The sequence below is a fragment of the Homo sapiens genome, chromosome 16, assembly GCF_000001405.40.
Source record: "Homo sapiens chromosome 16, GRCh38.p14 Primary Assembly".
Classification (NCBI taxonomy): domain Eukaryota; kingdom Metazoa; phylum Chordata; class Mammalia; order Primates; family Hominidae; genus Homo; species Homo sapiens.
The window spans coordinates 555,368-569,760 of record NC_000016.10 but is presented as its reverse complement, the minus strand read 5'-3'; the positions used below and the strand labels follow the sequence as shown (position 1 = coordinate 569,760).

At 67.4% G+C, this 14,393-nt stretch overlaps 2 protein-coding genes across 6 annotated transcripts, besides 5 other annotated features; both read right to left on the bottom strand.

The window, feature by feature from the left end:
- NHLRC4 (NHL repeat containing 4) lies at positions 266 to 2,756 on the bottom strand. 2 transcript variants are annotated; one of them, NM_001301159.2, is made up of 2 exons: positions 2,686 to 2,756; positions 266 to 2,290 (listed from the first exon to the last, which is right to left on the bottom strand). In NM_001301159.2, the coding sequence occupies exon 2, from the start codon at positions 1,711 to 1,713 to the stop codon at positions 1,342 to 1,344; it is 372 nt and encodes a 123-aa protein (NP_001288088.1). In that variant the 5' UTR covers positions 1,714 to 2,290; positions 2,686 to 2,756; the 3' UTR covers positions 266 to 1,341. The 2 variants fall into 2 exon arrangements, with proteins under 2 accessions (NP_001288088.1, NP_788850.1); NM_176677.3 differs by having other exon boundaries at positions 266 to 2,265.
- Positions 2,430 to 3,325: an enhancer, noted in NCBI's record as "H3K27ac-H3K4me1 hESC enhancer chr16:616436-617331 (GRCh37/hg19 assembly coordinates)". NCBI's record gives its function as "activates a minimal SCP1, AML or CMV promoter by ChIP-STARR-seq in primed H9 embryonic stem cells {active_cell/tissue: H9 hESC(primed)}" and the evidence as "EXISTENCE:reporter gene assay evidence [ECO:0000049][PMID:30033119]".
- Positions 2,432 to 2,481: an enhancer, noted in NCBI's record as "active region_10206". NCBI's record gives its function as "activates an Ori minimal core promoter by ATAC-STARR-seq in GM12878 lymphoblastoid cells {active_cell/tissue: GM12878}" and the evidence as "EXISTENCE:reporter gene assay evidence [ECO:0000049][PMID:35858748]".
- Positions 4,221 to 5,117: an enhancer, noted in NCBI's record as "H3K27ac-H3K4me1 hESC enhancer chr16:614644-615540 (GRCh37/hg19 assembly coordinates)". NCBI's record gives its function as "activates a minimal SCP1, AML or CMV promoter by ChIP-STARR-seq in naive H9 embryonic stem cells {active_cell/tissue: H9 hESC(naive)}" and the evidence as "EXISTENCE:reporter gene assay evidence [ECO:0000049][PMID:30033119]".
- PRR35 (proline rich 35) lies at positions 4,232 to 9,947 on the bottom strand. 4 transcript variants are annotated; one of them, XM_017022960.3, is made up of 4 exons: positions 7,966 to 8,864; positions 7,007 to 7,080; positions 5,385 to 6,505; positions 4,232 to 5,087 (listed from the first exon to the last, which is right to left on the bottom strand). In XM_017022960.3, the coding sequence occupies exons 3-4, from the start codon at positions 6,464 to 6,466 to the stop codon at positions 4,454 to 4,456; spliced, it is 1,716 nt and encodes a 571-aa protein (XP_016878449.1). In that variant the 5' UTR covers positions 6,467 to 6,505; positions 7,007 to 7,080; positions 7,966 to 8,864; the 3' UTR covers positions 4,232 to 4,453. The 4 variants fall into 4 exon arrangements, with proteins under 4 accessions (XP_016878449.1, XP_016878450.1, XP_016878448.1 ...); XM_017022961.1 differs by lacking the exon at positions 7,966 to 8,864 and having other exon boundaries at positions 5,385 to 5,594; positions 6,297 to 6,505; positions 7,007 to 7,191; XM_017022959.3 differs by lacking the exons at positions 7,007 to 7,080; positions 7,966 to 8,864 and adding an exon at positions 9,526 to 9,947.
- Positions 8,151 to 8,696: an enhancer, noted in NCBI's record as "H3K4me1 hESC enhancer chr16:611065-611610 (GRCh37/hg19 assembly coordinates)". NCBI's record gives its function as "activates a minimal SCP1, AML or CMV promoter by ChIP-STARR-seq in naive H9 embryonic stem cells {active_cell/tissue: H9 hESC(naive)}" and the evidence as "EXISTENCE:reporter gene assay evidence [ECO:0000049][PMID:30033119]".
- Positions 8,697 to 9,243: an enhancer, noted in NCBI's record as "H3K4me1 hESC enhancer chr16:610518-611064 (GRCh37/hg19 assembly coordinates)". NCBI's record gives its function as "activates a minimal SCP1, AML or CMV promoter by ChIP-STARR-seq in naive H9 embryonic stem cells {active_cell/tissue: H9 hESC(naive)}" and the evidence as "EXISTENCE:reporter gene assay evidence [ECO:0000049][PMID:30033119]".
- Positions 9,948 to 14,393: the final 4,446 nt, after the last annotated feature.

Here is a 14,393-nt window from a genome sequence, read left to right as displayed (position 1 = left end):
CGGACCCCGCCTGGCTCCCAGCCTCCCCAAGTGAACAGGTCCCCAGGCCCTGCGGGATTCCAGGAAGGCCCCAGCCCCAGCCCGGTCCCGCCCCCGTCACTCTGTTGTCTGCAGAGGGGCCGCCCCCAGATCCCCAAGGCCAGTGGTGCCGGGAATTTTGAGCCCTGGTAGGACCAGCCCAGAGGCTGCCGCCAGCGATCGTCAGGAGAGAACACACAGGCGTCCAGCCCCTCCCGATCCCAGGAACAAGACCCCAGCCCAGACCTCAGCGGCAACTCCGTTTATTGAGCACCTAACTACATTGCGCAGTTAGTCCCCCACCCACAGGACCCAGACATATGAGGGACCTCTCAGGGGGGATGTCCTGTGATACAGGGGAGCCCCACCTCCCCACCCCACAGGGGTAGAGCCAGACACCGTCCCCTCCCAGCTCCCTCCCCCATACAGGCCCTTCCCTGGACCCCAGACCCACGGAGTAACCCAGACGCCTCTCCTTTCACGCCTCATTTCCCCACTTGTAAAATGGGAGGAGAGGGTTAGACCCCTATTTTTTCTCAGTTTTCCAAAGCAGCAGGAGTCTCTCCTTGTAGGAAGCTCCCCCAGACCCTCCCAGCACGGCTGCACTGGGAGGACAAACAGCATGGAGCTGTTTGTCCCTGTCTGCAGAATGAAGGCCCAGACAGCTTTCATTCATGGGGACGCGGAAGAAAAGGCATCCAGGGTTCAGCCAGCCATGGGCCTCCAGACACTCCAGGGTTGCCTCCCCCTTACCTCTGCCAGGCCCAGAGAAGCTACTGGAGGCTCAGGACTCTAGGTCCCTCTGAGGTTGGGGACATTTAGGGGCCACACCCCTGCCCCAGGCCGCCCCGCCCAGCCCAGCCCAGCCACACCCTCCCTGCCTGTCTGCCCCCGATTAGGAGGCCTGGGCAGGGGCACCTGGTGGGAGAGTCTGCCTAGCTGTGTGCCGGCAGCTGGCCCAGGATCTCAAGGCTTCAGCTGCCAGCCCCAAAGTCCAGGCACAGGGCCTGAGGGGGTGTGGGGGGCATGAATGCAGGGGCCAGGGCACTGAATGGGGACAGCAGAGAGCAGCCCTGGCTGGGGAGGCTGCAGGCCTGGCAGGGGCAGCCTGGGAAGCAGACTCAGGGCTGCTCCTGAGATCCGGAGCCTCACCAGCAGGAGAACTCGAGCCAAGCCCAGGGCCCAGCCCAGGTGGTGCTGGCATCAGGCAGGCAATGCCCATAGCCTGGAGGCTCCACCCATCCTGAGGGTTCCTCCCGCGGTGATCCAAGGGCCTGGGAGCTGGCCTCAGGCACAGGAGGGCTGCTCCAACCCAGCCTCAGGTCAGGCCAGCTCCTTGAGGCCCTGGTACACCTTGATGGAGTTGTCCTTGGCATCAGCCACCAGGAGCTGGCCCTGGGGTGCACAGGCCACTCCCAAGGGCTGCCCAAGCCCCTCTGACACCAGGCAGATGGGTGGCCCAGCCCGGGGAAACAGGGTCACCTGGCGCCTCTGCTCGTCTGCCACAATAACATTGCCCTCTGAGTTGGAGCAGATGCCCGCTGGGCAGCCGAAAGTGTGCCCCGTCCAGCCCCCCAGGGAGCCCAGGGGTTGGCGGGCACTGCCAAACAGCCTCACATCCCCAAACTCCTCACTCACAGCAAGGCCCCCATCAGGCCCTGGGCCCACCCAGCAGGGGCCCTCCAGACCCAGCATGGAGGCTGGGGCCAGGGGCTCCCAAGCAGGACCCAACGAGAAGCTGTGCACAGCCCCAGGCAAGTAGTCCGTCACCAGGAGGCGGTTGAGGGCATCCACAGCCAGCCCTCGGGGAGACAGGAAGGTGCCCACTGTCACCCAGTGGCCCCCGGGGTCCCGGGCTGTGTGCTGGAGTGCATGGACAGCCCCATGGATGGGATCGCTGACCACCACAAGCCCTGACGCTGTCACAGCCACGTCCTCTGGAACGAAGGCCCCGCTCCCCGGAGTGCGGCAGGGCAGGAGGCAGATGGGGCGTCCCTCCAGATCTAGCACGTGGACACAGGGTGCAGCCCCGGCCGTGAGGAAGAGCAGGCCATCGGGGGAGCAGTGCAGGCCCCGGGGCCCTCCCACAGCCCCTGCGGGCACCCGGATCCACCCAAGCAGCCGGAGCTGCCGGGAGCCCGTGGAGTCTCCAGGTGGGTCCAGTGTGAGGTGCAGACACCTGGAGGCCAGAGTCCAGTCAGTCCGAATCACCGTCTCAGCTTCTCTGCAGCTGGGTCACGCTTGGGGCTGCAAGAGAGAGAATAAGGCCCCACTGTGTGTGGGAATGGCAAAGTCACTCCTCCAGTTTCTTCCTATGAGGCCGGGTCCTCCTGGTCCTGAGGGTCTACCTGGCCACCAAGCCCAGCGGCCACCCTAGTGTCTAGGTGCCTGGGACTTGAGTCTGGGAGACACATGACCCGTGGAGCTCGCTGTGGGTTTTCCCCTGAGCCCCAGATGAGCTCATGGGCCTCAGACAGATAAGCAACATTTCTCAAATCCATCTGCCTGTGGAACCCCTTTCTACGGCGGGGGGGCGGTCACCCACACACAGCCCTTCTACCCGAGCCCCTAGGTCAGGGAGACTTCTGACCCCTTAGGGGCGAGGCAGCCTATTCCGAGGGCCTCCACCTGCCCCACCGAGAGAGGCCGGGGGGAGGGGTCTCTTACCTGGGCCCTGTCTCGCTGGGCCCTGCTTCGGGGCTGGGTGGCTGCAGCCTCTGTTGTTGGAAACTAGAACTGGAGGAAGTGGGAGGAGCCACTGGCAGGGACGCAGCTGGGCCGGGTGGAGGAGGGAGAGTGCAGTCTCCGGCCTTGGCCCCTGAAGCTTCTATGAAAGAAAAACCAGGTCCCCTGAGGACTCCCCATGCTGTGGTGTTCCTGCCTCCGCGCCTTGTTGCAGGCTGCGCCCTCTGCCCGGACACTATTCCCACGTCCCCTACACGGCCAGATGCCATGCAGCCCACCCCCCTCCAGGGGTCCCCCATGGTCCCCCCACAACCAGCAAGTTCATTACTCCAAGTGGCAAGGCAGCCCCAGGCTGCCACCCCCAAGCAGGGTCCTTGGGTCTGGACCACAGGCGGGTGACCTGCTGGCTGAGGCACCCTCCATGAGGCCTGTCCTGCTCCCCACGGGTGACAGCGAAGGAGGTCGTGTCTCCACACCTGGGAGACGGGTGCTGTTGCCCCCAGCAAGGCCATGCTCACCTGTCTGCTCAGTGGGGGTGAGAAACTGAGGTGCAGTGGACATATGGGGTGCAGTGGACATATGGGGGGCGGGGGCTGAGGACAGGGAGTCTCCCTCAGACTCGGGACTTGGGAACAGTTCCTGGCTGCCCAGAGCCCCCTGCAGCCCCTCCAGGAAGCCTCTGGGTAGAGGGGCCCGGCTGGGACCTGTCCCCACAGCACTCCGCGCCTGGCCAGGCAGCACCCCAGCTCTAGCTGCCCCGAGGCAGGGTCGGGGCTGATGCTATCTCCCTGGTAGTTAATGGGGCCGCTGCCAGCCTGCTTGGACTGGCCCCAGCCCGGCTGGACGCAGGCAGGAACTGCTTCTCCTCCTGGGGGGGCGATGTGGGCTCCAGAGCCCATTCCAGGGTGGGCGTGGAGGGTGTGGCCAGCTCTCCCAGGAGAGAAGTGATTTGCTGTGGGGGTCCCGGGTGCCCCTCCCTGTCTGCCCATCCCCTGCCCGTGGGAGGGCCAAGCCAGGCCCTGCTGGGAGGGAGGCAGTGAGCTGTGAAGGCTGATACCTATCACGGCTGCAGGGGCTGGCAGGGGCCAGCAGAGCCCACGCTGGGTGAGCAGCCTCCAGCCACAGAGCCCCGGGGCCACCGTTTAACCGCAGGAGAGCTGATATGAGCGCGGCCTTGCTGGATTCAGAGGCTAGAGGATGTTCAGGGGTCCGTGCCCACCCCCGACACACCAAGACACAGGCCGAGCAGCCCAGTCCACACGCCTCTCCACCCCCGACACACCAAGACACAGGCCGAGCAGCCCAGTCCACACGGCTCTCCTGGCTCAGCTCCCGTCGCCGATGTCCCGCCCCACCCCCAGACCCCAGCCCCGCGGGGAGGGCCCAGCCCACAGGAGAGGGCCGAGTCTGAAGACAGAGGCCCAGCAGGACTGCTGCCCACCCAGGCCTCCCAGGCCAGGACACTTCCTTAGGGGGGTGTCCAGGTGGCTACACTAGGGCCCCAAAGGAAGGAGGCACAGACGGCGTGTGTGAACAGTTTCTGTTTTAATGTCCACAATTGTGATCAATAAATAACTGTGACCTCCAGTGTCCCTGTGTGGCCCCAGGGACAAGCGTTGGCCACGGCCCGTGGGGGTCTATCCACATGCATGCGGAGGCGGGGCAGGTCCCAGGCAGGTGAGGGGCAGGGGCTGCAGGAGAGGGGCCGGCATGCTGCAGGCAGAGACAGTCAGACCTCAGGCGCTGCAGGTCAGACCTCGGCGCCCTGGGGGCTCTGCAGGCCACAGACAGCCTCAGGGGTCTGGGAACTCCTCGTCGCAACACAGGTGCCCCAGCCACTGCCAGGAATGACAGGGTCATCTGGGGCTGCGAGGGGGAGCCCTGGGGGTGGGACGCTGGAGTCGGCCTCACACTTGGTGGTGTGGCCAGAGAAGGGTTGGGGCGCTGCAGGGCCCAGCATGCCGGGTGGCTCGGGGGTGCCCCCGGTCAACACGGGACCCAGCTCGGGCCGCCCCCACGCCTCTCCAAGAGCCTGGGGCCCCTTGGCGGGCGCACGTTTCACAGAGAGGTCGAGGGGTGCGTCTGGCGGCCTCACGGCCTGCTCCAGCGCCTGGTGAATGGTGAGCAGCTCCAGGCGGATCTTGCCCAGCTGCTCCCGCAGGGGTCTCGGGGCCAGGCCCCCCGCGGGCCCCAACTGTCCCAGGCGCTGCTCCACCCTGGCGTAGTCACCGAGGGCTCGGGTCAGGTCCTCGCCCACATGCTCCGGGCTTCCTGGCACTGGGCCCCGTGGCTGCAGGGGGAGGGGGCCCTCAGGGCCGGGGGTCTCAGGGCCGCCTGGATCCCCGTCCTCAGGCCACAGCATCACAGAGGAGCCGGTGGGCAGGCTGTGGGGTGGAAGCTGGTCAGGAGGCCGCACTGCCCCCACAGCGCCCCCGGCCCCTGCCCCTCTCCCCTCACGGCCTCTGCCCTGTGGCCCCAGCCTAGAGCCTAGGCTCTCCTGGAGACCCCGAGGACCCCCGCGCTGGCTCTCGGGTCTCAGTTCCCCTCTGTGGCCTGGAGCCCACTTTCCCAGCGACTGAGCTCAGGACGGACCCCAGCCGCCATGCCCAGCCGCCCAACCGCCATGCCCAGCCGCCCAGCCCCTCCGTCCACCCCAGGAACCGGGAGCCCAAGACGCCCACCTGCTCCGGGAACAGAACCTTGTCAGGCTGGGGGATGCCTTCGGAAGCTCCAGCCTGCTTCCCAGGGACAGCCTCCTCCTGGGGTCACTCTGGGCTGCCCGCTCCAGCTCCCCCTCCTGCCCTGGGTCCCTGGGGGTGACTCGGGGCCAGGGCCCCAGCCCTGGAACTGGCACCTTCAGCAGGCCAGGAGCCGGAGTCCCAGAGGGGCTCCTGGGGGAGACAGGGGCCTTGGCAAGGGCAGCTTTGCCTGCTGGCAGCCCCAGAGTGTGCTCCAGAAGCAGCGGGTAGTACAGGCGGGGGGCCGGGGTGGGGCGCTGAGGGGGCTGCACGGCTGGGAAGGCCGTGGCCGGGGGCAGCAGGGGGCTGGCCGAGGCCAGGAAGGGCACATGGGCTGCAGCGGCCAGTGAGGGCCCCAAGTAGGAGAAGAGGCCGGGGCTGAGCGGGTAGTTGACGCCCAGCAGAGACAGGTGGAGGCTGTGGGCCTCAGGGAACTCCCCTGGGGCAGGCGGGGGATAGCAGGGGACGCTGCCCTCAGGGCCTGCTGAGGCCATGTCCCCCGCACCCACGCCCCTTGGGTCCCCTCCCATCCCCGGCTTCCACGACTCAGGCAGGAGCCCACTGGGGCCGGGACCCTTCCGGGTGGCCCTAGCCACAGGGGGTGGTGGCCCTGGGGACCCCTTGGCCCTGGACTTGGGGCCTCCGCCACAGTGCAGGGAGTGGATGTCGGCGACCACGAGGTCAGGCGCGGGGGCAGCACCTGTGGGCCGTGCTCCCTGGGGTTGCCTGCCGGGGTCGGACTCCCCAGGGCGGTCTGGGGTGGGTGCGTGGGGCCTAGGCGTGGTGGAGCCACGGCGGCACGCCCAGTCTGGGGAGTCTAGCAGCAGGGACAGGGAGTCCTTGCAGAGGCTGTACTTCATGTGGTTGTAGAGGTGTGACTTCTCCAGGCAGGTGAAGGGGCACTGGAAGCATTTGTAGTTGTAGGGTTTGCCCCAGGGCCGCGGGATGTAGTGTGGCTTCTTGGGCTTCCGAGACCGCGCCCTCGCCCCTGTGCCCACGCGGCATGAGCCCGCCTCCCGCGACATGGCAGCCTGCTATGAGGCAGGGCCGGGCACCATGGCCACCTGTAGATGGGGCCACAGTCAGTGCCAAGCCTGCCTCTGACTAACTCCCCACTCCTCTCCATCCATGGCTCCCCAGGCTCCAGGGACTGGAGCCTGGGTGCTCCCCCCACCCCGCCGCCTCTGCCCTGCAACGTGCCCCCCGAGCCCCATCCTTCGGCTCCTCCCCACGTGCACTTCCAGGGTGGCAGCAAAGTCCAGGGCACCAAAAAAAAAAAAAAAAGTCCAGGACAGCGAGCTGCATCTGACGCCGATCAGCAGCACGTCATTTCTGAGTGTTAAGTGTAGCCTAGGCAATATTGGAAAGGCACACTAGAAAGGTGTTCATTGTTTATCGGAAATTCGATTTTAACTAGGCGTCCTTTATTTTATCGGTTGACCCTACACACATCCCCACCCCTGAGGCCAGGCCGACTTGCTGGCCAATTTCTAGGATAGTTCAGCCCACACCCATCTCCCCACAGCATGTGAGTGGCTAAAAGAATCAGCGTGACCAGAGCTCACTTCGGGTGGACGTCAGCCTCCTGGTCTCATTCCCTCCAGCAACCCTGGCCCCTGCCAATCTGCCTGTTCAAAGCCTAGGAAAAGGCACTGAGATGAGACACCAACGGAAGGGTCTGTGTGGGATGATGCTGCGTGTGTGTGTGTGTGCCTGTGTGTGTCTGTGTGTGTGCATGTGTGCGTGTGCATGCACGTGTGTGTGCGTGCATGTGCGTGTGTGTGCACACGTGTGTGCGCCTGTGTGTGCATGTGCCTCTGTGCATGCTTGTGTTCATGTGCACGTGTGTGCATTGTGTGTGCATGTGTGCATGCATGCATGTGTGAGTGCGTGTGTATGCGTGTGTGTCTAAAGGCGGCACAGAGCCTGCTCTAGCAGGGCGTCAGGTGGGCACTGGGGGTCTCTTAGGGGGTCAGTCTCATGTGGGGCCAGGCCAGGCTGTGGGGAGTGGACGTCCCAGCATGGCCCCACGGCTCAGCCACCTGCTCAGCCCAGCTCCATCTGGGTGGCTTCGGGCAGGTCAGCGGCCGAGCCTGCAGCGGCCACACTCAGCCAAGACCCGCTCCTCCCCACGCCCCACACGGCGCTGGTATGCGCGCCACACTCCATCTGGGCCGCCACCTGGGCTGTCCACCGCCCCAGCACGCGCCTGTGTGGGGTGCACAGCACGCCTGCGCACACGGGCTTTGGGTGTGTGTACACAGCCCACAGGCTCACACAGAGCCCTCACCCAGTGCCCGGAGAAGCCACCTCTGTGCCACCTAAGCTCAGAACGGAGTCTGCCACCAAGTGCGGGGCCCTGGCTGCACACACCTCACACTCCATCACGGTGAACACGGCTGCTTGTCCGTGATAACACACTCACCACCCATCCAGGTGTGGGGGGGCTTTCCAAACCACTCCAACACGGCACTCACATGCTCACACAGGCCCTACACACCGACTCCCCAGGACACACGCAGACCTGGCTGGGGGTCGCACCCGTGGTCATGCATGGCCAGTGGGTTGAGCAGGGTAGGGCTGGGGCACTGCTGTCTGCTGCCCCCAAAACACTGTGTTGGTGCCGTTGGGGGGACGACCAACAGGGCTGGAGAAGTCCACTCGTCCAAAGGCTTGGGGCCCTGCAGGGCAGTCACGGGCTGCAGGGGCAGGCAGAGGCTGACCAGCTGGTCTGTGGCTGAGACAGGGTGGCGGTCGGGAGGCAGGGGCTGGGCCAGGAGAGGTCCTGGGGCTCCCCGAGGGGCTGCAGACCCGGCCTGGACTGGGTGGTGGGTGCAGAGGCGGCCCCTTCTCCCTGCCCGCCGCCCCCCCCACCCATGTGGATGACAAATGGGTGTGGGCGCTCCGGCGACAGAGGCGGCTGTGCCGGGCCATCGATCACCCAGCCCTGGGAGCCACACAGCTGTGCCAGCCGATGCCACAACCCATCCCGCCTCCCAGCAGGGACCGGGGGCTCCCGGGTCAGGGGCTTGTCCAAGGGGCTGTCTCAGCAGCTGCTGACCCCTTGGGGACCCGGAGGATAGCTGGCACCCACCTGGTGTGTGTACACAGAGCAAAAGACACCCCTGGACAGCAGCCACACGCACACACAAACGCATACGCACTCACACGCGCGTCCCAGCCGGACCCGGCAATCGCTCCCGGGGCAGCCAGCAGCCCTGTGCCAGGCCCCGACACCCGGCCCCACTCACCTGTCCCTGTTTGGGGGAGAGCTGGGGGAGAACCGGTGGCACGGGGGGCACAGGCACCCCCACAGGGCAGGAGGGGGCACCCAGCAGCCGGGGACCCTGATCGGCCACCCGCAGATCCTGCTGCCCCCCCCCCCGGGAACGCAGGGCGCCCCACACAGGCGGGTGCGGCGAGCGCGAGGTCAGGCGTCTGCCCCAGACCCCAGACCCGGCCCCTGCCCTCCCCGCCTGGCCCCTGAGGGCGGCCCTCCCTCCCCCCGCGCTGCTCCTGGACTTCGAGAAGAGGGTGGGGGGGACCCGGCCGCCCCCCGCGCCCCCCACACGCCTGGCCACCCGCTGCCCCCGCGCCCCGCGTCCAGCCGGCCCCGCGACGCCCAACTGGCCGCCCCCGCGGCTCCCGCCGCTCCTACCTGCGCCCGGCCGGGAGCGGAGCCGCCAAGTCTGCGAGGCCGCGTGTAGGGCGCAAACTTCCCGCCCCTCCCCGCCCCGCGCCGGCCGCGACTCGGACCCCGCGGACGCGCTGGGGCTCTGGGGGTGGGATGCGGCTCCCGTGGGGGAAACTGAGGCCCGGCGCCGGGAGCCGGACCTCCCGGGTCCGCGGTCCCTCGAGCGGCAGCGACTCCCGCAGCCTCCGCCGCCGCCCGCGTCCCCCCGACGCCGCTCGCACCTCCCGAAGTTGGCGGCAGAGGCGGGCGCGCGTGCGCCTGGGCTCCGGGCTCCGGGGGGCGCTGCGACCTCCGACCGCGCTCGCGGCGGGAGGGAAGGAGCAGCCCCCGGCCCGAACCCCGCGCCCCCGCCGCCCGCGCGCCCCCCGCCGCCCCCTGGCGCGCACTCACCGGCCTCGTGCGCCGGGACCGGCTCAGCTCTCGGGGCGCGCGGTGGAGCGGCCGGGAACCCGGGAGGCAGCGGACGGAGAGCGGACTGCGGCGCAGGTGTGCGGCCGAGTCAGGGGCGCCCGGCGCCTCCCGCCCCCGTTGCCCGCAGGCTGCCGCGGGGGTGCACAGAGGCCGCCAGGTCTCCCGGGTCCCCGCCGCGGCGTGATGGGTGTCAGCGGCGCGGGGCGCGGGAGAGGGGCCGTCAGCGCTTATCCATCAGGGCTCTGGCCCCTGACAGCCGCCGGCCCACCCGAGCCAGGGCCCCTGGGGGCTGTCCTGGGGGACAGGGGTGCCGCGGACTGAGCCAGCGGAGCCGGGCTCCCTTCCTTGCCCTCCCTGGGCGAGCCCTGCCCTCCGTTCTCTTTTCCTCTAAACCGGAGGCTGCCCGGACCGGCCCCTCGCACCCCGCCCTGCCGGCTGACCGCCTCCACCTGGGGCTGGTCTCCAGCACCCTCCCCCTTCCTGGATGCGGACCCCTCCAGCCCTCACTCCCGGCTCCTGTGGGAGGTGCCTCAGCGCTGCCCCACGAGGCCACGCACTTCCCTGCTGTTTGAAAGACCCCCTCCCCACGGGAGTCCCCTCCTGAGAGGACCTGGGGCGGTGGAGGAGAGAAGCAGGGCCAGGGCTGCTCCCAGCCCCACCTCCCGGGCTGCACCAAGTTCCAAGCAGCTCCCTGAGCTGCCAGAACGTAAAGGCCTGGAGCCCCACTGCTCAGCTGGGGCCTAGGGGAGGTTCGCCTGACCGGCCTGCTCCCTCCCGGACACAGGCATGGCTGGGGCAGAGCCCCTGACTTCGCTCAGGGGAGACGTCCTAAACCCGACACTTGCGGTAGGCGGGCGTCTCGGGGTCTCCAGCCAGAGGGGAGTGTGCTACTCCCTGCTGACTCTGAAACAGCACAGGGAGCCCGGCCCACATAGCTCCCCAGGACCTGGGGCTCTCTGCAGGCTCAGCCGCAGGCTCCCGGGCTGTCCCCAGCTCAGGTCGGGGTCAGGGGTGCCTTGGGGAAGAAGGGAGGACCCCACGGGGCTTCTGGGTGTCACCCCTCGAATGGGGCAGAGAAGAGAGCTCAGCAGCATCTCCGTGGCCCCGGTCCGGCTGCTGGCAGAGCCCCCTGGTAGAGCACACCCAGGGTCCATGAGGAACAGCCCCTGGTTCTGGGGTGGGCGTGGGGCTCTGTCTCCCTCCTGCCTCCATGCCACCTTCCCTGACACAGCCGCACACGCCCGTCTGAGGGAAGTCCCTGGGGCGGGGCAGGGGACTGGGAGGGGTGCTGTGGATGGCAGAGCATGCCAGCCTTCTCTCTGCCCACCTGGCCTGGCCCAGCTGACCAGCTGACCGTGCAGGCAGCTCCGGGCCGGGAGACAGCTTGGGCTGCCGTCACGCCAGCAGCCCCGTGGAGAGCGGGGGCCAGGAGGCCGGCTGCTTCTGTACATAGACTCTACTCTGGACGTGTTCAGCTGAGCACTGCCCCGGGAGACTAGGGTCCAAGGTCACCCTGACACCAGTAGTCCCTCAGTGGCCAGCCCGAGACTGACCCCTTTGAAGGTCTGGAAGAGGCCACAGCTGACAGCACAGGAGACCAACTGGCTGGAGGCTCTGGCCATTGTCCAGGGGAGGAAAGTAGGGAGCAGGGAGGCCTGGTCTTGGAGCACCTAGATGTCAGCATACAGGAAATAAAGCCCAGTGAAGCTCAGGGGACCAAGGAGCCCCAGAGGGGGAACAAGGCCGTGTCTAGCGCTGAGCAGGCTGAAGGAGCACCTCCACCCCTCACCACCGATGGGCCTTTGCAGAAGTTTGCATGAGAAGAGAAGAGGGGCAGCCTCGAGAGGGGCCCCGGGGCACAACTTGGACGTGTTTCTGGCCTCCCGGAAGGACTCTGGCAGGGAGGATGAGGGGGCCCTGCACCTGCTGGTGGGGGTCCTGAGATTCAGCCGTGCACGAGGTGGGGGGTGAGGAGCATGTGAGGCCAGTACACTGGGTGCCCAGATGACTGTTCCCATCACAAACAGCCAGGCGAGGCCGGGATATCAGTGCCAGCACCCCGCAACCACAGGGCCCCCTGGGCACGTCAGCTTCCTCACTGTGGCCATGACCCACCTGCTTGGTCCCAGCTCTTGCACACTGGGCTGACTTTGGGTTTGGAGAGGTGGCTTCTGCTTCCTGAGGCAGTGACTGGGACTCTGTTTTGGCACCTGTGCCCCCACCCCCCCAACTTTCTGGCCCATGGCCCCCATCTGCAGAATGGGCAGTGGGGTGCTCAGTGTCCGGGCACTTCTGCTCTGGTCCTAGTGGGTGCCCTGATGTCTCCTTAGCCAGTCCCAGTGCAGGGTGGGATGGGGACCCCATGGCCCCTCCTTCTGCCTCCAGCCAGAAGCTCATTTTTGGCCATTAACCTCTTCTGCCCGGTCTGCCCACGGCTGCCCGCCTGTCACCTCCATTAACAATGGGACTCTGTGCCGGGGGCTCACGGGCAGGACGGAGAGCTGGGCTCAGAGAAGGCAGCGGAGGCAGCGCTCGGCATGGCCAGTGCCCGGGGGCAGGCCTGTCTCATCCCCTCAGTGTCGACACACAGCCAGTGTCAGGACAGGTGCAGGGGCCGGGGTGCCTGCACCCACACAGTGAGGGCAGTGTCAGGGCTGCAGCCAGGCTGGAGGCCCCACGCAGGTCCTGAGACCGGGGCAATCTATCCAGCGGCAGCAGGTTGGAGCCCCCACGTGGGGTCAGTACCTTGCAAGGTGTCCGGACACAGCTGATGTCTGTCCTTTCAATAACGGACCCCAGGGCCTGTGGCCACCCTGAGCACTTCAAGAACCCCAGGTCTACAGAGCATAGGCCTCCTGGGGGCTTCCTCCTTGCTGCCCACTTGAGGATCCCTGGTTGAGAGGGGCAGCCCAGCCTTGGCGGAAGGGGTCATGGATACACGTGAGGGCCCTCGGCACCAGCCTGAGGCTGCTGGCCTTGATGGGCGGGTACACAGTGGGGGTGCCAGGGGAGAACGGAGGGGGCTGGGCAACCGAGTGGGCCAGAGCGCCCAGGACAACGGCCCAAGGGTGTGGGGGGCACACGAAGAGCCTGCGGAGCTCTGGGGTCCCTGGGTCCATCCACCTGAGGGAACGGGGGCCCTGTTAGGAGGCGCCTGAATGGGGGCTCCAGGAGTCTTCCGGCTCGAGCACTACCAGGGATAGTCCTCCCCAGCAGCCCTGACCATCCCAGAGTCCACACCAGAGAGTCCCCTCCCCACCCGCCTCCCGGCTCTGGAAGACCCCAGCTGGGCCCTTCCCCATGCACTACACTCTCATAGACGTGCCGGGTCACTGGCCACCCTGGGCCGGGTGCGGGGCTGACCCTCTGTGTGTCCTGAGCCTCTGGGACGGAGGAGGGTACAGGACGCTCCTTGGAGGGCTGAGCTGCTGTGGTGGGAGTGAGCCCCGTCCCAGGAGGCTGGGATGTAGACTGACAGAGGGGGCAGCCAGCCAGGCGGGTGGGACGGGAGGCTGAGGCTGCTCGAGCCCCCACCGGCTCCCGAGCCTGGCACTGGCCAGCAGCGCCCGGGGCCGACAGCAGCCATATGTTGGGAAGAGGAGCTGTGTGTGTCTCTCTGCGGCCCCCGGGGCTGGCCTTCCTGGGCCTGTCACAGATGATTTTCCCCGCCTGAGTGGCAGGCGGGCTGGCGGGCGGGGTGGCGGGGCCTCCAACTGGCAGGTGGGGTGGTGGGGCCCCATGTCCAGCCCCCCCATAGCCCTCAGCACCAGGGCTGGCCACTGTTGGGGTAGATCCGGGTCCTGGGCCTTGGCCTCCCACCCCCCAAAACCTCACTGAGCACCCCCGGCCTGCCATGGCCACCCCTGCCCAGGTCTAGGTCGGGGTCCTAGAGGAGCCCTGGCCGGCCAGTGGGGAGCGGGCACTCCTGCCAGGACATGGGCAGGCAGCCAGGGGTCCACACTGGGCAGCAGTGCGCCCCGGGCAGGCGGGAGAGGGCCTGGAGCCGCGGCCCAGTCAGCCTGGAGCCCAGAGCTGTGGAAGGAGGCGAGGAGGCCACGGCTAATTTGTACACTAAATGCTTCTGACAGCGATGCCTCATAAGTGAGAACTTGCCACTGCCCACCCCGGGAAGGCTGTGGCCAGCAGCGCCAACAAGAGGGGCCAGGAGAGGGCACCGTGGGGGCACAGGGCTGGGACAGACCAGATACACCAGAGAGATGGTGCTGTTGGTGGGGGTGAGACCCAGGAGGAGATGCGGGGGAGGGGAGAGGCCTGCACAGAGAAGGGAGGGGAGGGCTGGGCGGGGGCCGGGCAGTGACAGTGGGAAGGAGTCAGCCCCGACAGCTGCCACCAAGGTCTGCCCCGCGCCAGGGCTGTGTGTCCTGCCCAGCCAATCCTCCCTGCTGCCTGCAGGACGCTCGCATCTTTTCCCCTTACCTGCTGCCAGCCGCCTCCTCCAGGCCTCCGCAGCAGCCCCTCACGTGGCCCCGGCCCAACACCTGGCAGGGTCTGTGCTGTGGGACCCTGAGTCCTCTGCAGACGCCCCCCCTTTCCCTCATCACCTCCCTGTGGGAGCTGCTCCCGGGGGCTTTCAAGTGGAGAGGAGGCTGCTGGCTGGGCTAGTGGGGACTCTGGGCAGCTGAGGGGGTGGGCACGGACCCCTTGCCTGCTGTGCGGGACTCCTGCAAGAAGGAGGGTCCTTCTTGTGGGCCTCTGTCCTGGGCCACCCCAGGACTGGGGTGGCAGAAGCCAGAGAGGTGGGTGGTGGTGGGGGTGGGGCCAGGGACAGAGGAGCAGGGTCTCGGGAGGAACGGGGGTCCCAGATACCCCAGGACTAGACAGAGCCA